The sequence below is a fragment of the Homo sapiens genome, chromosome 5 (genome assembly GCF_000001405.40).
Source record: "Homo sapiens chromosome 5, GRCh38.p14 Primary Assembly".
Classification (NCBI taxonomy): Eukaryota; Metazoa; Chordata; class Mammalia; order Primates; family Hominidae; genus Homo; species Homo sapiens.
The window spans coordinates 107,650,710-107,674,531 of NC_000005.10; the positions used below are offsets into that span (position 1 = coordinate 107,650,710).

Below are 23,822 nucleotides of genomic sequence, written 5' to 3' on the forward strand. Positions count from 1 at the left end.
CTAAAACTTTTATTCAGGGAATATCCAGAATTTCTTCTGAACGTCTTCAAAAATAGCTCTATACCTTTGCCAGCCTTCAGGAACCAAGCTTACCTGCATGCAGGCAAGAAGGGCCAGTGGTATGTGAATCCCTAGCAATTTGGTTGTATATACAGATTGTACATACACATGGCCTCACAATTAGCTCCAAAGAACCAGTCCACGAAACATTTAACCTCCGGTTATACTAGTTATTTGTAGTGGATGCCAAATTATGGCTTGCTACCTCAGTCCATTAAATGCTCAACAAAGAGGAATAAAAATGTGCATTTTTAATGCTCTTTTCATATTAGCATATAGTCCCTACCATTCTCCTCCACTACACCTCCTCGGAAATTCTGCCCCAAGGTCACCCTTCAACATTTCATCAAGTTCTGTTAGACAAACTGTATCACTCCACATAGCCCAGCTGAGTGGTAAGGGCCATTTACTGGCCAAGGGACCTTTGGCTAGTATAAAGTATGTAAAAATCAGTTTTCTCAGCAGCAAAACAAGAATTATAATACTTCCCTCACAAGAGCTTTTGTCAGGATTTTTAAAAATGATGATTTAGTCTATAAAGGACTGTGCTCAGACACAGTAAGTGCTCAATAAATGGGAGCTATTCAAGTCAATTCCTAGAGGGGCACATAAGTACTTCTGTGGCCTATAAAGCAAAAATGAATCTCTTCCACAGCATTGTTTCTATTCGCCCCTAAGTAAATGCCAAAGCCTGTACTCTAACTAGGAAGGTTTTGAAAACATGATTCAAAGAGCCATAGGGGGTCCTCGCAGGCCTCTCAAGAAGCCTGGGAACAGAGCACAGCCGACCGCCCAATCTCTCCAACTACAACTTGATGTTTGCTTGGTGGTTTGGCATTTGTTTTTCCGTTTTACACATTAGACTTTCGCTAATGATTTTTGTGAACAATGGTTTTTTGGCAAAAAAAAAAAAAAGCTTTGAAAACAATTGCTTAATCCACATGTCAGGGAAACAATTCAGATATAATAGAGCACCCTAAGTTTCATCTGGAAATATTAAAATTACTCTGATTTTTATCATCTCACCACTTAACCACTTACAAATGAAGCCTAATTTGAAGATCTTCAACATTTACCAGTATTCTGTTATATTTACAAAGCAATTAAACAGTGGCTAAGATATACAACAGTGCAGAACAATTCTAATACATATTAAGACCCTGTTAATCCATCTGTTACAAAGAACAATGCAATATAATGGTCCTCCTTCCCCTACTAAAAATGCAGCCTCGTGTATGTGTGGGAGTAGGAAGTATATGAGATATCTCTGTACCATCCTCTCAATATTGCTGTGAACCTAAAGCTGCTCTAAATAAATAAAGTCTTTAAAAAGTCAAAAACAAAAATCACAACCTTAAATTCACACTCCACAACTTGACCAACCTACCTCTTCAGCCCATGCTGCAGGTACTTTCACTAGATCCCCTCCACCCTGAATAAACTACTTTCTGTTTATTCCCCAAATCCATATACAAGGTTACAGCCAGTAGGCCTTTGCTCCTGTTCCTAAGGATCCCTGGAATATTCTTCAGCTACTTGCCCCATCTCTTTTAAAATCATATCCATTGTTCAAGGTCTAGACTAAATTATTCCTCTCCAGAAAGTAGTTTCTGATACCCCTGAACAGATGTGCTTTCTCTCTCTCTGTCCATAGCATTTCATGCTTTATTGTGACACTATTGTTCTAATATATTAGTGGCCTGAATGAAGCAGAACAGTTTGATGATTGCCTTGGCAGTCAAAGAATTTTCTAATTGTCCTGGTATTTGCCTGCATGTGGTCTTTAGCACTGATATGTTCACATCAAATATCACAGAAGACTACAAATTTAAAAGCATGCTTACAATATCAGTGGAAATGAATTAACAATCCAAATATGCTATTGGTTTTACTGTGTATTTATTAACAATTACTTTGTAGTCAAGACACAATAATTTCTTTTTAAGGATGTTTACTTTTCTAGTTAGTAAATGTACGGGATGGTTTTCACTAAAACATAAGTCAGCCAGCTGTTTGTTTGGGTTCTTAAACTGAATGGTAAAAATACAAGCAGCTTTTTCTCAAAGTACTCCACTTTAAACAAGGGAATCTGTTCCATATTTAAATGATTTAATTTTCTTTTTCTAAAAAAAAATAGTTTAAATTTTTCATATAATAAGAACATCTCCTCTTCAGAACTTTCATTTCAAATGGCATATGGTTCTCCCTCACCCATCTGATGCCCCAGGGATGCCAAGGCACTTAGGAGACCCAAGAGAGTGTGTAATCCGACATGACAGCTGAAAGAGGGAAGGCTGACAGAGGCATCAGAACAGGTACCAGGGAGGGAGAAGCATCATTCTGGAATCTGAGGGTTTACCCTTTTACTTTCTTCCAAGTTCACCAAAATGCTGCAATTTACATCTCCTTGAGAAGACAGCATCACTGACCCAAAGGTTTCACTCAGAAATGGGCTGGACCCACCAAGACAAGCAGCTTTGTGTACCTTAAACTTCACTAAAGCAGACAGACTGGTCAGCGTTTCTGCACTTCAGTCTCCTAAGTTCTCCATAACCCAGTGTAAGCTCCAGCTGGCTTTGTAGTCAGCTTCCCTTTCCTCTATATGGTGCATTTATGAGTTCGGCTGTGGGCCCTGTTAATTTCCCTCCACAGCCTTTCTTCTCTTCCTAACACATGCATACTTGAGCCCGCTCTGGAGTGCTGACTAAGGAGGAACAATAGGAGGCTTTGAGCAGGGCTCAAGCCCCAGACCCAGTCAATATTTACTTCAGTTTGGAGGCACTGTTTTAAAGCTCCTTCCAAGCACAACTCAACAGGGGGAGTCCCCAGAGGTTTCTAGATTTTATTTTAACTAGAGGGAAGAGGGGTATGGAGATAAATAGATTACTGTCCAAACCACTTTCTCAGAGAAAATAAGAGAGGCTGTTCAACAAAACAGGTTAGATTTTCAATACTAATTAGCAATTTATAACAAGAAAAACCAATCGTCTTCCAACACTGATTATTGCAGTCTTAAAACTCCATATTCAGGCTGCAGTGCAAATCTACTTAATGTGACCCATGTATATCTTGTGAGCAGAGTCCTGATCCTATCAACCACTCAAGAGCTTGCCAATGTTTGCCTACTCTGCCCAGAATGGTAATGCAAGAGCTCTAGGTGAAGTTAACCCAAACTCCACGACTGAATTCCAAACCAGGTCTTATGTATACTATTAATATGTGATTACAAAATGAAGTTGTGATTACCAAACCCCATGAATTAAGAGTATGCTATGATAAACACTAGTAAGTATGCCTGTTATCTTTGCAGTAGATTGGAAAGGTTAATCTATGGCTATGAAGGGAGTGACTAGGAAAAAAAAGTCACAAATACTCTCTTCCCACCAGTAAAAGAGGCTTACTATGGGACAGCATGTGAGAGGTAAGATGGATAGTTTGTTCTAATACCATATTAGAGCCAATAAAGCTTCCCTGTGGGTTTACATTGCCTTCTGTTGACATAAATATAGACAGACCTTCTATATTAAATATGAAACTACTTAACCATAAGGATTTTTGTATTTGCCAGTGGGTTTAAACTTTTTTTTTAAAGGTCAATTGCCATAGAACTAACCCAAAGTGACAGTTGGGAAATTTTACTAAAATGATTAAGGCTATATAAAATTACTAAAGATTTGTTAGATACCTAAGGAAGAAATTCATAGTTGTCTGCCATAACCAACTATAATACTCATTATTCCATTCAAATCATTAAGTAGACTTTGTTCCTTTTGCTTAAAGACTCAACTGTATATTCCATTCACATTTTGCAACATTTCCATAAGAACAGAGCCAAATGATCTAAAAACTTTAAAAAGAGAAATTGAAGAGAATTTACAACTGTCCAAAGTTAAAATTCTAGTTTATGACAACCTTAGTACTAAAGAGCATCTTCTGTATTTTAAACATGTAAAATACATTGACATAACTCAGCCTTTCACAAAGAGAAATAGAGATAATTCAACCCATTCCTCCCTCCAAAAAAAATAATGAGGTAAAAGGTGATGCACCAGGATTAGCCTGTTCAACTGTCTAAATTCATCACATGCACTGGAATCTGTTCAGCTCTAGCCTTTAGTACATTATTTACCATATTAATAAAAGCTGAATAATTAAGCTGCAACTCAATCCAATCATTTCAATACCTTAAGGAATTACTGGATAGCTATACACATGCAATCTGATCAATCAACATGCGCTCATGGAAAAAAAAAAATGCTGAGTAAGCCTGGCTAAGATGCAGTCTTTGGCTGATATTCTTTAACTGATGTACAAGAATATAAGGAATTAGTATTTTAATAACACAAAATATCAATAAGTAAGTTATCAAAATTTAAACTTCTTGACTACCCTTTTGCCAAGAAAGTAAGCCTGGAGCAAGGGAGTGACTGTAACTAATATCATTCATCAGACATGGAATCCAAGTAACATAAAATTACCAAGCTTCAAACTTGAAATAAACTCATAGCAAGCTCATTCCCTTGACAAATTTTAACTTCCAATTTAGCAGGAAAAAAGAAACCTGCTTTTGTACAAAATGATATAAGAGCAACAAAGGTAAATCTAGCTTTCCTATGAGCACAGCGATTGTAAATATTAAAATGCTGTACTTTTAAGAGAAATCTGTTATGCAGAGTTCACAGTGTTCTTTCAAATAATTTTGGTATGGCTTATGTTAGACCCAGTATTTTTATTACTAGTGGCCAAGTTCTGCCCACCAACATCACTAAATTTCTGGGTACAGCGCATAAGGATCATTGATAATTTCCCTTATGAATTACTTTTTCCTGGCATAAATGAGGTTTGTACCTTCAGGAGTAAAACAACATTACAAAATGATTATGTAAGTATATGATGGAAATTTTTTAACAAGTAACAGGCATATTTGCTATCCATCTAAATAACTATAAACATAGGAAGTAAAATTGGCTTTGAATAACCACCTGACAATGCTATAGGAAAGCAGCCCTTTGGCAGTAATCTATTACTCAGGTTTCAATGCATTAAAATATGTGTTCCTTGACAAATCCTGTTTCCTTTCTCAGCTACATGTTGTTATGATCTATTTATACCTCTAACATCAATGTGTGTATAATATGTACTAAGTTTAAGATAGTCAATAGCAAGAGTTCTCAAGCAGAGCGTCAAGAGGTTAAACCCTGCTCTTCTGGCAGCAGAATTCAGAAAAATCCAAGGATCCCAGGGACAGCCCAGCTGCCCGTAAGGAGCAGGCCCAGACAGGAATTGATTTGTTTCAACAAGCTCCTCATTGGAAATACAAGCATTCTCCAAGAGGATGTCGGTATTCATTAATTTCTCCTTTGAGATGGAGATATCTCATTATAACTATGAAGTCCAAAGTAGAATATCAGGGTTTTAGAAGTCAAAGAAGAAACAATATAGCAGAGACAAACTGAGAGGAGAAGGGAGGACATTAAAAATAAACCTGGCCAATTTTACAAAGGAGATTCAAAATCCCTTTCCCGGGAAGAAGGTCCTGGAAGACTTGCCTCTCAAGAGTCAGTCTTTACACATTATTACTCTTTTAGAAATCACAAGATAAAACCTAAAATGTAAATTCCTTTAAATAAAACCCAATGTAAATGTACAAATCATCTCTCAGGAACAACATATATTACAAAATGATACAATTTGGTCTACCTTTTAAAAATTCAACTCTTCTGTGATGCTTTTAAAATAAGTTTTATTTGTAAGAATGTATTTTCTATGCAACTTACCAGAATATATATAAAGTGAGATTCACAAGAATATATATAAAGTGAGGTTCAAAGTGAGGTAACTCCCCTTAAATCTCTATTTCCCCCCCAATTTATTGAAGTATGATTGACTTTATTCTTTTTACAAGTTTTATATCAGTTTTTAAAGTCCTGCCACATATACACATTCCTTTAAATTTTCACAAGTCTGAGGGAGATATTTTTATTATACCCATTTATTTATTAGGGTGAAGAAACTGAGGCTTAGATTCACCACTATAAATGGCATACTTACAACTCAAATAGAGCTGAAATTTAATTAGCTCTGAAATAAAACCAAAAAATTTTAACAGACAAGTGACAAATCTAATCTGATATAGGTTTTTTAATATCTTACTTTCTGAGTCCTTGCCTATCCAACACCCAAACAAATTTAAAGTTTGATCTGTAATAGTTGCTACTGTAAAAATTCAAAACAAAAAAGTACATAAACACAATGTTTTTACTATACGCAGTTAAATCTGTATAGGAACATATATTAGTATATGGAAGAACTTGGTTACAACCTATTAATATGATGACAAGTCACTGTTAATAACTTTGAGTTAAATAAAAACAATTTAATGTGCTTATTTTCTTTTTTTAAAAATGGAGGTGAAAAACAGTATTAAGAACTACTGAGCATCTTCTACTTCATCTAAAACACAAATCTTAGGTATATCAACTCTATTTTCAACAAATCCATTCCTATTCCTAAATTTAACAATCTTTGAAGCATATAGCATAGTTCTTTTTTAGGAGCCACTTAAGTTCACACAGAGTCACAGAAGGTTCTAGCATTTCAGGATCTATGAGAATCATAAAACTGGAAACGCTAAGTGCTTGTCACCCCCAAATTCACTGTTTGAGAACCCTCGTTTACACCACAGTGAACATAAACATAAACTTACAAAGAAAACAGTACTGTCTTGATTTACTATTCTTAATAATATTCATAGTTATTATGAAATAGTACCCAATGTTCTAATTAAAGCCATTGAGGATTTAAAAAGAAAAATATTTGCTTCTGTTTTAAAATTAACTATCAAAAATTGTTGGTAAAAATTTCTTTTTAAAATAAAATTATACTTAAGTGGTCACTGTCCTGTTCATCTGTTTCCTTTCATAAAAATACACCTGACTTAAAGTACAAACCGTTTTATCTCTTTTAAAAATAATCATTCCATAGAGGTACATTTCAATTAAGTCAGTCTACTTAACTGATGCTTTCAAAGACTTGAAAGTTCATTTAGATTAGTAATATTGTATTTATATACACAGAGTGAAGATCAGTAAAAACAAAAAACAAAAAACGCAGAGTAATCTTCTGAATTTAACTAGTTCCATTCCTTACTTGTTAATACAAAGATTTGCTTTGAAAAAGCAAATAATACATACGCTGTGAGGAAAGCAGAAGCATATTTGCAGATCTTATATTACCTAGACTCTACAGGAGCAAAAGTTTCTCACTAAGACTACTAGAATCATAGAACTTTACAGAAAGAACGCATTTTGTCCCAAGTCTTTTATAACTCCATTGAAATTACAGGCTCCTGAAAGCCACCCACAAGAAACCCAGACATTGAAAGTAGAAAAACTGTTAGTCATCTTTTATGTTAATGTAAAAAGAACATTTGGGGTTAATTTAACCATACGGATTTAAGTTGGAAAGTGTTAAAAATCTGTTTCTGCGGTGTAATTCTGGCATTGCCACATAAAATACATCTTGGGAGGGTTTGCTTAATATCTTTAGACATTTATGACAGGATCCTCCTTAAACTTTTTGGACCAAGGTAGTATTTTTATTCCAGTGGAATTTGTCTACAGAGACCAAATCTTATAATGAAATCCCTGTCCCATTACCTTTGTTAGTGGTGTATTTTCAATGAAGCATAAACTTCAATGTAAAAATCTGTTTTATTTGTCTGAGTTTTGAAGGAAAGTGGTTAGAAAGGAACATTAGGCATTCTGGGCTTCTTAAATGGCAAATAATTTTCCTTCACATAAATACGGAGCCATTTTAGAAACTGCAGAACTCTATGAAAAGTTCAGCGCAAATACAACCAAGAGTCCTTGAAGAAGAGCCAGAAGTCATCTCTCTCCCACTTAATTTTATCTAGAACCTTGCTGTGCAAACCACGGTTCATGGGCCAGCAGCATCAATGTCATCTGGGAGCTTGTTAGAAATGCAGACTGTCAGGGCCCTATGTAGCCCAGACCCACTAAATTAAAATCTGCATTTCAACGAAATCTCCAGGTCTGTGTTCACCTTACAGTGTGAGAAACAGTGACCTAGAAATTACTAACCGAATGCTTCATGATGACAGGGATGCTGTATATATGCTGTTTACTGCAGTATCTCCAGTACTGAGAACAGTACCTGGCCCACAGTGGACACCTGACATAAATATCTGTCAAATAAATCTACATGTGCACATTTATGGTACTATTTTATACTCTGTAATATAATTATATGTATAAAATTATTATATCTGCACAATGGTCTTAAGTTCCTTACAGGTGCAAATGTTATCTTATCCCTGAATCCACTGTATGTCTCCCAGTGTTCTGCAAATATCACTCAATAGTTTATCAATGATAACTTTTAGATATTCAATATAGGAATATAGAATTTCTTCAGTGTGAAAACTTTGGAAAAATAAGTTCAAGTCAACATGTAATTGCTGAATTCATCTATTTGGCTTTGGTTTTAGATACAGCTAAGAGTGCTCACCCTAGGAATGAAAATAGTAATGGAAAACATTATATAGGACCAAGTTCTGATTCTATGTGGTACCAGAGAACAGGGATGGCGTGGATGACTGAAATCCAAAATTGATTCCAAAACTTCATGTTATTCAATAGCTTTAAGGTCTTCCCTTACCAAATCTTCTATCCAAGCTGCTAAAAGTTTGAGTTTTTTGGGTTTTCCTTTTTTTTTTTTTTTTTTTAGTTTCCTTTTCTTTCTCAAATCTTCCATAGGTCTACAGGCCCAGAGACAATAAAATGGCTAAAAGCCATCAAAAGAGAAAAATAGCAATAGAGAGATTTACATAATAAATGAAGTGATTAGCTCTCAAATAACCAGATGTCAATGAAAAATCTAGAGCTAAGTAAAAAAAAAATAATTTGCAAAAGACGTAATGATAATAGTCAGATATGTTAATATATGTATTGATAACAAGACCATGCCAAAATAATATTCAAAATAACGAGATATTCAGACTCACAGATATTGCTGGTTCTCTCAGTTCATATTACAAAGGAAGAACGCTAAAATAGGGAGACCCTTCCTAACAAAGAACTGCATTTTTTCATTTTAATTAACTAAATTAATAGTCCTTTCTACATTTTTTTTCCTTCAGAGAACAGAGGATGAAGGTAAACCAATAGGTATGTCTGACCTTAGGTGTACATATTCTTATGGAATATCGTGTATACATATACCCACCCCCTCAACACACACCACCTCTGTCATGTTGTCTTCCCAAGAGTATAGTTGACTATGGTGATGTCAAAGTGTGTAATTAGTTTTCATTGTTCCCTTGATAGCTATAGTTCCATACAAGACCCTTTGCTTTTGATGCTGTAAATGCTATGGAAAAAATACACTAATAACAGGCATTTAATTATGGTTCTAGCAACCACAGTGGGAACACTGCCAGAAAAAGACTGGAACCTCTGAGATGGCAAAAACATATATATATATATATATATATATATATATATATATATATATATATATATATATTTGGCAAGTGGGGGAGGTTCTGTTCTTCAATTACAGTAATTTTCAAAATATTAATGACAAGCATATGGTGGGAAAATTTTAAAATGTTTCCTTGAATCTTTGTTGACAATAAAGTATGTATACAATGCTACACCCATACTGAAACCAAGAAGAACACTATCATGTCTGTAACTAAAATATTAATAAGAATAAAGGAATTGCTTATTAATCAGGGAAATACTCTTTAGAATAGCTTTATATTTTGATACTATAGGTAAAGAGTACAAAGATTTCATTTCAAATTTTGTTTTTTGCCTGGCTTTTCACAGACTTTAAAAAAATTATCACTTGTGATACAAAATACCTGGGTGCTACATTCTCTGATGTTTAATTTGTTTTATACAGTATTTAAAATAAAGTATCCCAAGTTGCTGCAATGGCAGACACCAGATCTATCACTGAGGTCCCTTCTCTCCTTATTAATTAGTAATTGGGAGACACATTTTGGCAGCTTTCGTTTCCCCATTATTTTCTCTAGTTTGACACAAAACCCTGTCAGAAGCACCACTATTTGAACTGTACCCCTCTTAGTGCTGGGTCACTAAATTTTAATAAACGGAGCTCCCGCCAGAAAACTACTGAAATAGGCGTAAAAGTTTATTGAAGCAGTAACAGTAAACAAATATATGAAGAAAGCACTGAATGCCACAGTATCTAAAACATTAATGGTCTGTCTGAACCCAGGGGTTACTGGCGAGATTGCAGAGCAGAGGCTAAAAGAAAAGGCCTTTAACAAAACCACTGCTTTCATCTGTCTGTTAAAAAAAAAAAAAAGAAGAAGAAGAAGAAGAAAAAAAAAGTATTAGCTAAATAAAGCAGGCAAACACTTTGCTGCAGCAGAACCATACATCTGAGCTTCCCTTAGCCTCCATTATCCCAACATGTTGAATAAAATTATTGGGAGGCAAAGATTTATAGCGACTATATGGACAGAGAAGCCATCCGGAAGCCACAAAAGCTCTGTCTGAGCCAAAGAAACATTTTCATAAATGGTAAGGTGAGAAACTTAAAATGAAAACTAAAAAGACTGATACTTTGGAGGTCTGCAAATAGCTACAGAATCAGTTTCAAGATCTCCATCTCAAAGTGTCAGTCACTTCAAAAACGCATCCTGCTACGATGGTGGCTCAGGACACTTGTGTGCCAGGGCAGTGGCCATGCTGTGCAAGTCAGAGGTCACCGCTTCCACATTCCGACATCTGTCTGTATTTTCTTGCCCTGAAACAATAGAAGGGGAACTAGGCTCATTTGCTCCCACTTTGTTTAACCTAATTGTTAGACACAAAAGATAATTTCCCATACTTAGAATTATTTTTTCCTTTTCCCCCCATTCTCATTTGTCTCCATAAAATTAAAAACTATTAAAAATGTAAGCACGTGAAGTTGTCTATACATTATTGAGTTCAGTAAATGTAACAAAGTTGTATATCCCACTGACATCTACAAAATATAAAACATCAAGTATCATGTCTGTCATCATCACAACCTAGATAACAATTTGCACTATAATTATCCAACCTAACTATGCCATAACCTCATTTAATTCAAACCACAACACTGCCTGTTTCATATAAAAATACTTTCATTTACTTTTATAATTTCCAGGGAAAGAGGCAAGAGCTAATTCTTAATTATAGTTTTTACATATATAAATAATTAATAAATTTTAAAATGGAAACTCTGACAGCTTGGAAACAGCAAGAAAAAAAACAAAAGGTATTTGTTAGTTCATTTAAAAACAAAAGGTCACTTTGAACATTCAAGTTATTTTAGTCTTCTCACTAGCCAAAGAAAAACAGATGCTAGATATCAGAGGAAAGTTTTCTGCGCAAAAATGGTCAACTCGTACCTGAACTTTAACCGCGATACATGTATCTGTTATTAAAACATGCATTTATTGCCTTTACACTACATCTACAACCACCCAAAATCCTACCTCTAATGAACTGAAGCAGTTTTTCATAAGTGACATAAGTAATATTTCACTGTGCCCAGCTTAATCAGGCTAAGTCAGGTTACTTTTGAAATTAATCTTACGGAAGCTCTGCTTTTACTGCAGTACATGAGAATAATGTTCCCAGCCATCATCAAACACATGCAGTAGTAAGCAGTATAGTATAAATTTTTAGTAAAGTTTATTAGGTCACTTGGTTTTCCAAATGTATCCAGAAATACAAAACATGACAGAAAATATAGCAGTCAGTTGATATACTCTCATAATTTTTAGTAACAAATATGAATTTACTTGTAAAATAATCTATGAGAACCCACAAGAAAGATTTGTTCTAATGTGATAGGAAGAGCCTATATTTCAGAGACAAAAAGGCTCTGACTTAATATAACGCATCTTAACCCCAACTGCTTCATATTTAGAGGTACCTATACTCTTATCAGTACCTTTTGCGGGAGAAAGATTCCGGGTAGACTTGAGTAATTAAAAAAAAAAAAAAAAGGCAACCAACAAATAAAAAGAACTACTTAGCATAGTCAGAAAAATGAAATCAGGATTTGAGGGTGGAGGTGACAATAGGGGCTATTAATATATCACTTTGAAGTTAGCCATAAAGTATAAGCTTCGAGAAAAAAATATGTATGGAAACATGGTACAGCCCAACATTTAACATTAATATATAATATGCCTGGGTTTAAGCATATTATTACTAAGTTAAAACATCCTTTTCTGTCAACTAAATATAAGAAGATAGCATTTTAGTAAGTTCGCAAATAAGATAGCGCTTTAAATGTAGAGAGCCCTGCCAAAATGATCATAAAGTGGTTTAGTCCTTTTCTATCGTCCATATTCATTTCCGAACCAATTTCACGAAAGAAATAAAATCGGTCTTAAAACAAGATGGCTGCTTCTAGGGGGGAAAAAAAACACGCTGATTTAACTGAAAGCCAAAAAACAAGCTTTTCTAAATCAGGAAATAAGCACTTAATCATATTTTTTCTAATCTCTAAGTAGGTATTCATGTGTTTCCAACATGGTAATCCATATATTATACTGCGTGGTTATTTTAAATCATTAATAGCAAAGCGATTTTTAAAACAGGTCTAATCAATGTGTACTAACAACATGATTGTCCAAGGCATATACATATTTGCTAACATATATGACTGTCCAGAGCATATGCCAAAACTCCCACTTTTAGTTCACACCAGAATCGTGATCATCAGTCATGAAAATCAGGTCACTTGATAAGCTATAATAGAAAGAATATTTATATCTTATATCTCCTAAGAATCCAATCATAAAACTTGCAGCAATATCCTATTACAATCAAATCAACTGTACTTGACTTTTTAAAAGTAAAAATCATAGGAACTTTACTGTTAGACGATCTCTCCTTGAGCTACACTTTGCTGACCCTCCCTAAAGCAACTGGAAGATCAATTCTGATATGCATATAAAAATTAAGAGCATTTTATCCATCTTGAAATAATTTTAAAATAGATTTTTAAAAATCATTCAAACGTATTTTTATTCCTCACTTGAGTGGAAAATAAGACCTGACAGTAACATTTTCTTCAACCTGTCAACTGTCAATTGTATGAAGGATGTTTCTAAAGATGACAAAGGTTTATTTTTCCTTATTGAAAATGATAGAATTCTACCTGAATGAAAGCTGAGCTAACCATCACTGTGGTACACTACTGTCTCTCAGCAACTAGCTAGCCTAAATAAGAGTTTTCAATATTTTAAAATAATGTTTTCATTGAACTATATGGTTTACTGTTTGAAAATTATATTCAGAAGCCTCAAAAACAAGAATTTGCATCCACTCAAATTTTTCAATTAGAAAATAGCACACGGATTTCAGTTTACAATAAATCCTTTAGAGAGTACAATAAAAAGTACTATCAAGAATATGAAGATATTAGGAATGATTTTACTCAAGATCATGCAAAATAGTTGTAGTCAGAAAAAACTTGATTAATTTTTAATTTTAAGCTAGATGGTCCTGTGTCATTGTGCTCCTTTATGACTGACTAAATTTTGAAAACATAAATGCAGACAAATTTAAGAGGAAATAAATCTCCTAGTAGTGAGTAATATCCTATTCAGAAGCACTGGAAGTTCACATTAATCACAAGAAACTTTTCTACAAAACAGCTCAGGACATAGGTTGAAAAGCAGACTAAAATATAAATTTGATAATATAAATCAGGCCCTTAAAAGAGACAGTAATTTATTGATGTTTGGCTGTCTAAGACCACCATCGTAAGACAAATTATTAAAAGTGAATATTAATACCTCATTTCTTATACTCCTCTTTGAGGATTTTATACCTGAAAATGAAGGTGTTATCCATCACAAATGATCAAAGGGCAATTTTTTTCCTCAGTTCAGAAAGCGGATCTGACTGAGTTGTCCTGGGTAAGAGGCAAGGACCTTCCTCACTGTGCTTAGGGAAATTGAGGCTTCCTTTGCAACATGGATATTCTAATCCGGAATGCTATTTTAACAGTTTGTATACTGCTTCTGAAAAGAAAATTGATAATATAGAATCGTCAACACAGAGTCGTTCATTATTTCAAACAAAATATCACAGCTTTTTAAGTCTTTATTGCTACCGAAGTTATTCAACACATGCACAAAAATGAGGAAGGTTGAGTGGTATCTTATAAAAAATTTTTAAATTTATATTGAAAACACAAACCAATAAGCCACTAGACCAAATGCTACCCAACATGTAAAATTCTATTCTTAACATATTCTCATATTTTGTTCATTTTTATTTTAATGCTTTCTCTCTCTCAAAGGTAAATTTTCTGGCATATACTTATCCCAAGCTAGCAAAGGCCAGAACTCCTGAAGGACTAATTGTATTCATTCATTTTCTTGGCCCAGCGTGAAGCTGGTAGCTTGCTTGGTTCATAGCAACAGGGGAGAAAAGGAGGCGCCCATCTTTATGTCCTTATCCAACAGGAAACCAGGCCAGTGGACAGAATGCAGTGAAATGCCTGTTCAGAAGGTATTCTGCAAGATTAAATGGCAAGAAATTCACAAGGTTAATTTGCACCCAAGTAACTAAGTGTTCCCTCCAAACCTGATCCTCAGCCTTCAAAGGTGGAAGCTTCTGAAGCTACTGTCAGCCACAACACACATGACAACAAGATATTAGTTCAGTGAGCTGATGGTTTAGTTATTACCACTAAAATCACCTAACAGAGAGTAATAAACTACTGAAGACTCTGATACTTTTAATCACTAGTAGTTTACTGACCTTGGTCTTACCCTGAAAATGCCAAATTAGACTGTATAGCCAAATCTGCCTCAAATAGCTCTAATGTTCCTATCATCTAAAAATCAGACAGTTGAGTATTTCTGATAGTTTATTGTGAATATATAAAATAATGAATCAAATAGGTAGAACATATCTTAGTAGCTAACTCTGCTTTTCAAAATTCTATGGAAAACTCACCAAAAAACAGGAATCATACTTCTCTTTTACAAATTTCTAGATTAAAAAGGGGGGAGGGTCAATTCACGTCTCTTATAAACATATAAGCATAAAAACATGGGTTATAAACCTCAATCATACTGCCTTATTTTTAGCCTGGTACTTGCATAAATTCTGATCTAAATTTCAGAGTAACAAAATTACTACCAATACATCTAATAATGTGATACGTTACACTGAGGCTTAAAGTTAATGCCTTTTACTTGAAAAACATTTATGTTTCTAACATACAAAATATTACTTAAAATATTTAAAATTTCAAAAGTAAGGACAATCTAAGTTTTGTGATGAAACTCATTCAAGACCAAGATAAACTTTCAATCTTTACTCACAACAAATTCTTAGATTTAAACCATGCTGATTTCATTTACTTGTCAGTGAAAAGGTCACAGTGCCGGCATACTGGTATACATATGTCAAAATGATGATGGCTCAGATTTTTTTTAAATGGAGCAACTAAATTTTGAAAGAAGAAAAATACTCAAGGGAATATGATTAGGAAAAAAAAAATGTTACTACTTCTCTCTTCTTAGCCACATACATTTGACCTGTACTGCCAGAGGACTTGGGAGTGTTGACCTAGAATTCACATTACTTTCACAACTCCAAGATTACGTGTTAACAAAACTAAAAGGTGTCAATTACCTGCTACTCTAATATGAAATGTTTAATATACAAGTCCCTACAAGAATTGAAAAAGTCCAAAGAAAACATGATTAGGTTAAAGTTTAGTAAATCCTTCATGACTTACACAGATATTTTCCTCTTAAGAGTATAACCTTTTAAATTGATGATACTCAAACCTTAACAGAAGCAAAGCACCAGGTTGAGGACGACTGGTATTCCTAAAAGTGTGTTGGTCATATTTGCTGCTGTATTATTTGACTATTGCATCAATAATGCCAACCAGTAGGAGATATGTTTAATTACCCTAATATCATTTCAGCAAATAGTCAAAATAATCCAAGAAGAACTTAGAATACGCACATGATGTTTAAAAGTATATTCTTATTAGAAGCACCAAACTGCTTATGGCATACTTCAGATGAAGAGGCATGTTCTTAGTATTATGACTCTCTTTATAAGCATAGCTACTAAAGGAGAATGTAAATAAACTTTTATTACTGGAAGTCTTTTTAACTTTATTTAAAAGCTTTTTACATTCTTAAAGAAATTAAGGACAAATAGTTATATTCTTCTTGATGTGGATTTTCATTACTCAAAGTTACTTGGTGACATTCCAGTTTAGAATTCAGAATAATATTAAAAGGATGATTTGATTATTTACACTTTTAGGTAAAACTTATACAAGTTTTCAAATTTTGGAAATATAGAAGATCTATTTAGGCAAATGTTATCATATATTTCTATTCAAACTGATAGTTCTGAGTGGCTATTTCACAAATTTGTGCCAATTCAACACATAAAAAAATCAGTTTGGTCCCCTATCCAATAAATACTACCAACTAAAAGTTATCAGCATTTGAAAACTCAGTATCCACTTCTCAGAAGTGAATACCTGGGTACATAGATTGTAACAGTAAAACTATTCTGACAGCAAATAAATTTAATATTTTTTCCCGTGAAACTACATCTATAGATGCTCATTTATCAATGGAGAGGCAGTAATGAAACTCCATGTAGAAGATAAACTCCTACCAGATACACAAGTGACACAAGTTACACAGTAAGATACTGTACTTAATCCCTGTGATCAAGATACATTTAATTCTGATTTTACCTAAACATAATTTCAAATTGAATCTGTTAGTATAAGCTAAAGTAGATTTACTTCGTTTAGACACAGTGTACATTATCATCAGTTTAACGTGCCCACTGAACATATTATATTCTGAGGGAAAAATAAAAAAAATTATTTAAGTTGCAATTAAAGTCCTCTATTCTTTTTTCAAAAGATTGAAGTCTTACTAGTTTAGCAAAATTTTAACAGATAGGTTCTATATAAAGACACAAAGCATGGCTAGCTTACTTTATGAAATAACATACAGGAAAAGGAATTGCACAACAGTGAATTTATAAAATTTACTAAACCCGTGGAAATTTTCTGAAATATTTTCTTACTATTGTTTGTGGAAAACTGTTAGTTTTTATTTTTAAAATACTTATTTGGCATGTGGCCTCTTATATCCAAGTTGACTTTTCTTAATGCATCAAAAGAGCAACATCTTATTCAACACTTCAGAGATAAAACTGCCTACTTTTAAAATATTGTTTTTAAAGTAAGTTTTTAACTGTGATAACATACCAAGATAAATGTGTCCATAAATTCCTAAGAATAATAAGTGTTAGGGCTGTATCTCTTGGGGTTAAGAGGGGTACATCATTCTTTCTTTTGGCCATTATCAAACTGATAATGATCAAATAGAAAGGTAATTCTACAAACCTGAAGTTAGAATACCGATTTAGAAATACTCTTGGTATTTTAAAATTCTGCAGATTAACTTTGTCTGGGCAGGTTCAAAGCCTCCATGGCATCCTGAGCAGAAGAGTTTTCTGCAGGCAGGGCAGATCTATTAAAAAACATGACCTGTGACAAAAATCAATGTGCTAATCTCAAACCAAACAACAGTATCAAAAGCACAAAACAGAGATAACCTAAGATAAAATGTCCTCAAACTAACTCAGACTAGCTTGACAGGTTAAGAAGGGGGGTTAAAGTAGGGGTGTTGCTGGTTCTTTCCGTTTTAACCCAGGAAGACTGGAACACCCAAGTATCCAAATAAATGAATGCCATGAGAAAAAGATCACAATGTGGAGCTTGGTGTGGGAAAGAAAAGACAACCGAGAGCAAGATATCCCAAATTCAAAGAAACTATTTCAGTGTTGCTTTATTTAATAAGGTGCTAAAGTTCAGAGATACAAATTTCTGCTTCGTATATGCTGCCTAATAAAGCACAAACGGGGAAAAAAAACTAACCAACATAATGAGACTGGCTTTTAACACCATCACAACTGGAAAGCTTGCTCTATTTGTCTTGTCAGCTTTAATAAAAGGCATCTCTCCTCTGGCAGGATGGCTTCTTTTTCTCTTTTCCTAATAGTGGTAAGTGGCATGTCAAAGAAGAAATCGCTTCCCATTCCACCACCCACCTCCAGGAGACTCTTGTTTTTTGAACCAAACTTTCAGGAATATCTCCACTCCTGTTCAGCGGTTCATTTAGGACTTGGGCGGCTACCTGAGTAAGACTATCTTGGACTAGCGGGATAGGGGGAACTCCCTCCTGGTTCTGTAACCGGCGGACTGCTTGTGGGGAAATCTTCCCATCTTCATCTGCGCTGACATTATTCAAGCAGGGAATCCCTCTCTTGCCTGCATGCTGAGGGGAGGCTGGAGGCAGGCGGAGAGGGCCCGCAGGAGATAGAAAAAACTGGAGGCGCCCACCGATACCCTCTCTCCTGGAGCCCGGGGCGCGCACCAACTCTTAGGCTAACCCCTCGGCCTCCCGCCTCTCTCTTCCCAACTTCCACTCCAGCCCAGTGAAAAACCTGTGACTTTAGATGCAATCGGTACTATTAATAAATAGCACCTAGGAGGGCACCGAGACCGGCACACAGCTGGAAGCTAGCCTCTGTCCCAGAGAAAGCAGTGCGGTATGGGCCTAGCGGGGCCGACTTCTGTGCACAGGCCGGGAAGCAATAAAGGTTCGGAACTGCTCCAGACCCGGAGGACCCCGCCGGGCACTCTGGATAACCTCCCCACTCCACTTCCAGGGTCCGAAAACACGGGACGTCTGCGACTGGCCGGTGTCCAGCACGCGCACTAGGACCGCCCCCGGCGCCCACCTCTAGTCTCCCGCATACCCGGCGGGCTTCGGGACGCCTACAAATCGGTTCCAGGTAATCGCGCGCGTTCCTCCGGCAGCACATCGCCAGGCCGCGGGCGAAGGGCTCCCACCTCCTGGCTCGGCCAACTCTGGCAGCTTGTTCTGCACACATGACGTAACCCGGCATTAGATCAAACTTTCTGGCACCTTGAACCCACTGGGGTGGGTGGAGGGATGGAGAAGATGGGAGAATCCTCTCCACTGCCAGGCGCGCCGGGCCCAGACTGACTCAGGGGCCGAATGATTTCCTCGCAGTTGAAGAGGAAAATAAAAACCTAAAGCTTCCGCTTCCCAGCCCCCCTCACTTCCCCCAGCCCGTGCGCTCTCTCTGCGCGCACCGGGAAAAGAGAAGGGAAAATTAAAATTAAAAAAAAAAAAAAAAAAAAAAAAACTTTGGGGGATGTTTGGCGGGTTCTCTCCGCAGTCCCTGCGGACCCACGCTCCAGGAAGGAGCTCCCGGCTGCGCACACTGGGGGCTCCCCGCGCCGGGAACCGGATGCCAGCCAGATGCCGGGGCTGGGAAGCAGAGAAGTCCCTACTCCCCGGCTCCCGCCCTTTTCCGAGTCTCCCGGCGCCCCGCAGAAGCAGTTGGTCTAGGCAGCCCCGGGGACTCCCAGGGGTACCTGGCCTTTCCGCGGCGGCTTAACAAAGAGGGGCGCGACGCGAGCGCTTCCCGCCGACGCCTCAAGCCATCAGCGCCCGGGCGACGCAGGCTCCGAGGGTGCGCGCCGCCAGCGGTTGGTGCGCGCCGATCCCCGCCGCCGCTCCTTCCGCAGGGCCCCGAGGCCCGGGTAGCCCTGGCTCTCCGCCTGTTATCGGCTTACCTGGGGTTGCTGCTGTTCCAGTAGACAGCGTAGCGGTCGGCGACGGCCTTGGAGCCCGGGTCCTGGCTGAACACACACATCCAGAGCACCAGAAACACCAGCGTCAACATCTCCACGTGCAACATCACGCCTGGCCAGCGGCGGAGCCCCCGACGCGCCACTCCGGGGAGAGAGCGGGGATCCGGAGGGAGGGAGGCAGGCAAAGGGACAGAGAGAGAGCGGGCGCCAAATAAATATGAATAAATAAAAATGAAAGTGGGCGAGAAAGGAAAGAGGCGCCCACCAAGCTGGGGAGGGGTAGGAGAGCGAGAAGAAAAGAAGGCGGTGGGATGGGGGGTGATAAAGACAAACTCGCACCCCCACTGGAGGGTTCAGGAGGAAAAAGGAATCACAAGATGGAGAGAAGCGTGCGTGTGTGTGGTGGCGGCGGCGAGGGCGGGGGAAGAGGTGCCAAGCTGTGTCTCGGGCGGCGGCGGCAGGCCGGTCACCCCGGGAGAGGGAGGTGCGCGCCGGGCCGGGCGGCTGCAGCGCGGGTCGGGGCAGGCGGCGGCGCGCGCTGCACAGTCACCGGGAGTTGCGCGCCGCAGCCGCGGGGAGACATACACCGGCCCGCCGGGCCCGGCTCAGCGTCGGCGCAGCAGGCTACGCACGGCTCCGCCACCGCCCGGGGCCCTCGCACTGCGCCACGCTTCGCTCCAAGTTACTTTGGCGGCCGGTGGGAAACTGCAGGAGAAGGGCGACGTGCTGATAGAGGGCTTCGCGCTTGTGGTCCCGGGAGTCTGAGAACCCCTTTCCTCAGCCTCCTCTGTGCCTTAGCGGGGCGACCCCCAGAAATCTCAGAGGAGTCGTAAGTGCTGCGGTACCGGGCGGTGCGCCGAGAAGGGTGGGGATCCGGAGCCGCAACCCAGCCTTGTCGGTGTCCTGGAACTGGTTAAGCGGCAGCTGCGCCGGCTTTCGAAGCGGTCTTGCCTCGAAAACCTCAAAGAAAAGTTTGGCTCTTCGCGTCTTCCGGCAGGTCCCCCAGCAGAGTCGGAACGCGGCGGTAGCGGAAGAGGGCACCCCGGGGGCTGGCCGAGCCTCGGGGATTTCTCGCGCGTGCTTTCCTTGGCTGGGTGTGGGTGCACCACAGTGAATGAAGAGCAGAGGTTAAGACCAGCCGGCCTGGCAGAGCTGGGATTCCTAAACCTGCAAGACGACGCCAACCCAACTGTTCGGCTGGAGAGCGGGAGGGGAAACAATCACTTTCAAATGGATCCCTCCAACTCCTGGATGGGCCGATGTCAGTCTCCGATCGCCTTCCGAGAGGGAGACTGAGCCCCCACACGCGGTGCCAAGAGCCCGGGGTGAGCTCTCAGAAGTGTCCCTGCGACTCCAGCGGGTCCAAGCCTAGCAACTTGTAGAGATGCATCAATCAGTTTGAAATGGGAAAAGAGGAAAAAAAAAAAGCGCACGAGCGAGTGGCACCTCCCCGATGACTACATCAGAAAACCTTCCCGATCCTCCCGCAGCTGCTCCTCTTTCCCTCCTTAGGCACAGCAGCAACAGAGGTGAAAACCACAAACCGAATCCTAAAACCCCTACCCAGGCGGGAAAATAAATAAACTTGAGTGCAGCAGCAGCAGCACGAGCAGCCCAGGAGGAATTGAAACGACTGGCAAGAAGTGGAAAGGGTTTTGTAAAAGTCAGTTTTGCAAAAGAGGGGGAAAAAAAGAGAGCGAGAGAAAAAATGCTTTATGGGAAAAAAAATCTCCTCGGGCACGCCCCCTCGTTAATGACTTGCGTGGAAAGCCGACAGCGGCGGCGACCCAGTGGCAGCAGCCTCAGCAGAGCGCGAGGCCGCACGCGTGAACGTGGACGTGGGCGGGGGGATGGGGCTCCGCCCGGGCGTGTTGCGCGGGACGCGGGACGGGCGGGCGGCGCGAGCGCGGGTGTGAGCTCCGGACGAAGCAGGGGGAGGTGCCGCCAGCCCGCGCCCAGCCAGCGCTGCTGCCGCTGCGGCCCGGGTCATGTGGACTGTCTTTTTTTTTTTTTTTTTTTTTTTCCTCCTTCCAAGCAGTTTACTTGGGAAGGGTGGGAGCGCGGTGGGGGGATAGCTGGAGCAACCAGTCAGGGAACGGCCTACTGTTTGCTTACAGATTGGGGGTTTTTCCTCTCTCTTTACTCCAACCGGATTGGTTTGCTCCACGAGAAAGAGGCGTTTTCCTAATCTCCCTTCCCCACGCCTCCTACCCCCTCCCCCGCCCCACCTTCTAGAAACCTGACTAATTGAATTACTGGGAGTGCCGAGGCGCCCTCTCCTGCGCCGGAGCCCGGCAGCCACGTGTAACCCTTTGGGTGCTGAATTCCGTCTGGGCTAAGGAATGATTTGACATCTTTTTACCTGGGAGTAGGGTCTTTCGATTTTAAAGGAACCTGTGCCCACCCTTTGGCTGGAGAGCCGGCATCTGTCTCTGGTGCCCCGCAGGTGACGGATGGGCTGGAACGGAGCCTCAGGGAGTGCGCGTTCCTGTCCATTCCACCCGCTCTCCACGCCGCACGCTGCCTGGCGCTGGGTTATCTGGAAGTCTGAGCACCCCTCCTGTGCCTTTCAGCCCTCCTCTTCCCACTTGGGATTTAAAGATTCTTGGGCAGGAAGCAAGTTTTCTTTAAAGTGATGCTCTGAAAACACGTTTTTAAAAATCAGGCAAATCACAGTTTAAAGTGATTACAATTCAGCGCGAACCTTCCACAGAGAGGAAATGAATGCGGCAGACGAGCCCTTCAGAAATAACCTCACACCTCTTCCATTTCAACCTTGAGGGTGATTTGCTGCCCACTCCCCAAAGAATAAACGCCTTTATCGAACCCGGTGCGGAAAGAAATGAGGGCCGGGGGCGGGGGCTGTGGGAAGAAAAGCAGTTCCTTTATTGTTGGAAAAGGCCCCTCGGTCCTGGACTTCAAGGGCAGGTTGCAAGCCTGGTCTTCAGCCGCCACTGAAGAGCGATCTCCTGGCAGCGAGACTGTCCCAGCGCCTCGGGACGCGTCCCCACTGTCGTCCAGCGCCCAGGAAGTGAGCCCGACGCCTGCTCTGCGGGGCCACAGGCCCCCGAGACCCGCCCTTAAGGGGTCCGCGGGCTCGGGAGCAGCGGTATTTTTTCTCATGTTCCCTAGGGAGTTTTCTGCCTTAGTGGGAAGGGCAGATCCCCAGGAGAAAAAAGGCAGTTTACTTTTGCTCCCACACCTGCCTGCACTCCTTTTTACTTATTAGCCCAATAAAATCAAATCTCACGTTCACCCTCCTGCGCTTTCCAGTCCTCAGACGGGATTTCCAGGCGCTTCAGAGCTGTTTAGAAGCGTCCAGACGCCCTCCAGTGGTGGGCCTGCAATCCGCACCCAGCAGGGGCATTGCCTGCCGCTCAGGCCGGGTTGAATTTGATGGGAAATCTAGGGCTATGACCAATAAAGACTCGAGAGGAAAAGAAACAGTTCATAGGGGCACGGAGGTACCTGGATGTTATGGGCTCTTGGCTAAAAGTTAAGTCGTTTTTCAATTACAGTAATATTTCCTATCTGAAAAGATCCTGAAATCGTCCTAGGAAAGTAACTTATATTTTGTGACTAGATACAAATTGCAATCTGTACAATAATGGACTTTACCACAAACCAACCATCTGCCTAATTATTAAAAATTGAAATTCAGAATGTCGACACAAATGCTCCTCCATCATCTGTATGTTTCACAAAGTTCCAGCAGTGAGAAAGAAGTGGGGAAAGAAGTGAGAGAACCAATGGATAAGCTTTTATTTTTCAAATCAAATTTTCAGTTAAAATGTTATTTGCTTTTTTCCCTGGTCTGTAATCTTGCTGATGTTCAAGTTCTTGGCCCATTTTAGGGTGTGTGTTTTTTCTGTTGCAGGAAAGATGGATTTGTTTCCTTAGCTTTTCTTATAGTGGCTCTAATAGGTGCTCATATGACAGAGACAGTTTTGCAGGAAATATTCTGGACCCTTTTAAGAGATATGTGTATCTTTAAAAAGAAAATTCACGACTCCTGTCTAGGGTAA

General features: G+C 39.6%; 1 protein-coding gene across 2 annotated transcripts in view, besides 9 other annotated features; it reads right to left on the reverse strand.

The window, feature by feature from the left end:
- EFNA5 (ephrin A5) overlaps nt 1-20,228 on the reverse strand; it is a 294,044-nt gene extending 273,816 nt beyond the window's left edge. For both annotated transcript variants that reach the window (NM_001410773.1, NM_001962.3), the window contains exon 1: nt 19,780-20,228. In NM_001410773.1, the coding sequence (NP_001397702.1) occupies nt 19,780-19,904 (125 nt within the window). In that variant the 5' untranslated portion in view covers nt 19,905-20,228. The remainder of the gene's footprint in view (nt 1-19,779) is intronic.
- Nucleotides 19,381-19,460: an enhancer, noted in NCBI's record as "active region_22868". NCBI's record gives its function as "activates an Ori minimal core promoter by ATAC-STARR-seq in GM12878 lymphoblastoid cells {active_cell/tissue: GM12878}" and the evidence as "EXISTENCE:reporter gene assay evidence [ECO:0000049][PMID:35858748]".
- Nucleotides 19,621-19,690: a silencer, noted in NCBI's record as "silent region_16213". NCBI's record gives its function as "represses an Ori minimal core promoter by ATAC-STARR-seq in GM12878 lymphoblastoid cells {active_cell/tissue: GM12878}" and the evidence as "EXISTENCE:reporter gene assay evidence [ECO:0000049][PMID:35858748]".
- Nucleotides 19,861-19,990: an enhancer, noted in NCBI's record as "active region_22869". NCBI's record gives its function as "activates an Ori minimal core promoter by ATAC-STARR-seq in GM12878 lymphoblastoid cells {active_cell/tissue: GM12878}" and the evidence as "EXISTENCE:reporter gene assay evidence [ECO:0000049][PMID:35858748]".
- Nucleotides 20,261-20,310: a silencer, noted in NCBI's record as "silent region_16214". NCBI's record gives its function as "represses an Ori minimal core promoter by ATAC-STARR-seq in GM12878 lymphoblastoid cells {active_cell/tissue: GM12878}" and the evidence as "EXISTENCE:reporter gene assay evidence [ECO:0000049][PMID:35858748]".
- Nucleotides 20,701-20,840: an enhancer, noted in NCBI's record as "active region_22870". NCBI's record gives its function as "activates an Ori minimal core promoter by ATAC-STARR-seq in GM12878 lymphoblastoid cells {active_cell/tissue: GM12878}" and the evidence as "EXISTENCE:reporter gene assay evidence [ECO:0000049][PMID:35858748]".
- Nucleotides 21,671-21,740: a silencer, noted in NCBI's record as "silent region_16215". NCBI's record gives its function as "represses an Ori minimal core promoter by ATAC-STARR-seq in GM12878 lymphoblastoid cells {active_cell/tissue: GM12878}" and the evidence as "EXISTENCE:reporter gene assay evidence [ECO:0000049][PMID:35858748]".
- Nucleotides 22,581-23,080: an enhancer, noted in NCBI's record as "H3K27ac hESC enhancer chr5:107008991-107009490 (GRCh37/hg19 assembly coordinates)". NCBI's record gives its function as "activates a minimal SCP1, AML or CMV promoter by ChIP-STARR-seq in primed H9 embryonic stem cells {active_cell/tissue: H9 hESC(primed)}" and the evidence as "EXISTENCE:reporter gene assay evidence [ECO:0000049][PMID:30033119]".
- Nucleotides 22,982-23,031: an enhancer, noted in NCBI's record as "active region_22871". NCBI's record gives its function as "activates an Ori minimal core promoter by ATAC-STARR-seq in GM12878 lymphoblastoid cells {active_cell/tissue: GM12878}" and the evidence as "EXISTENCE:reporter gene assay evidence [ECO:0000049][PMID:35858748]".
- Nucleotides 23,112-23,191: a silencer, noted in NCBI's record as "silent region_16216". NCBI's record gives its function as "represses an Ori minimal core promoter by ATAC-STARR-seq in GM12878 lymphoblastoid cells {active_cell/tissue: GM12878}" and the evidence as "EXISTENCE:reporter gene assay evidence [ECO:0000049][PMID:35858748]".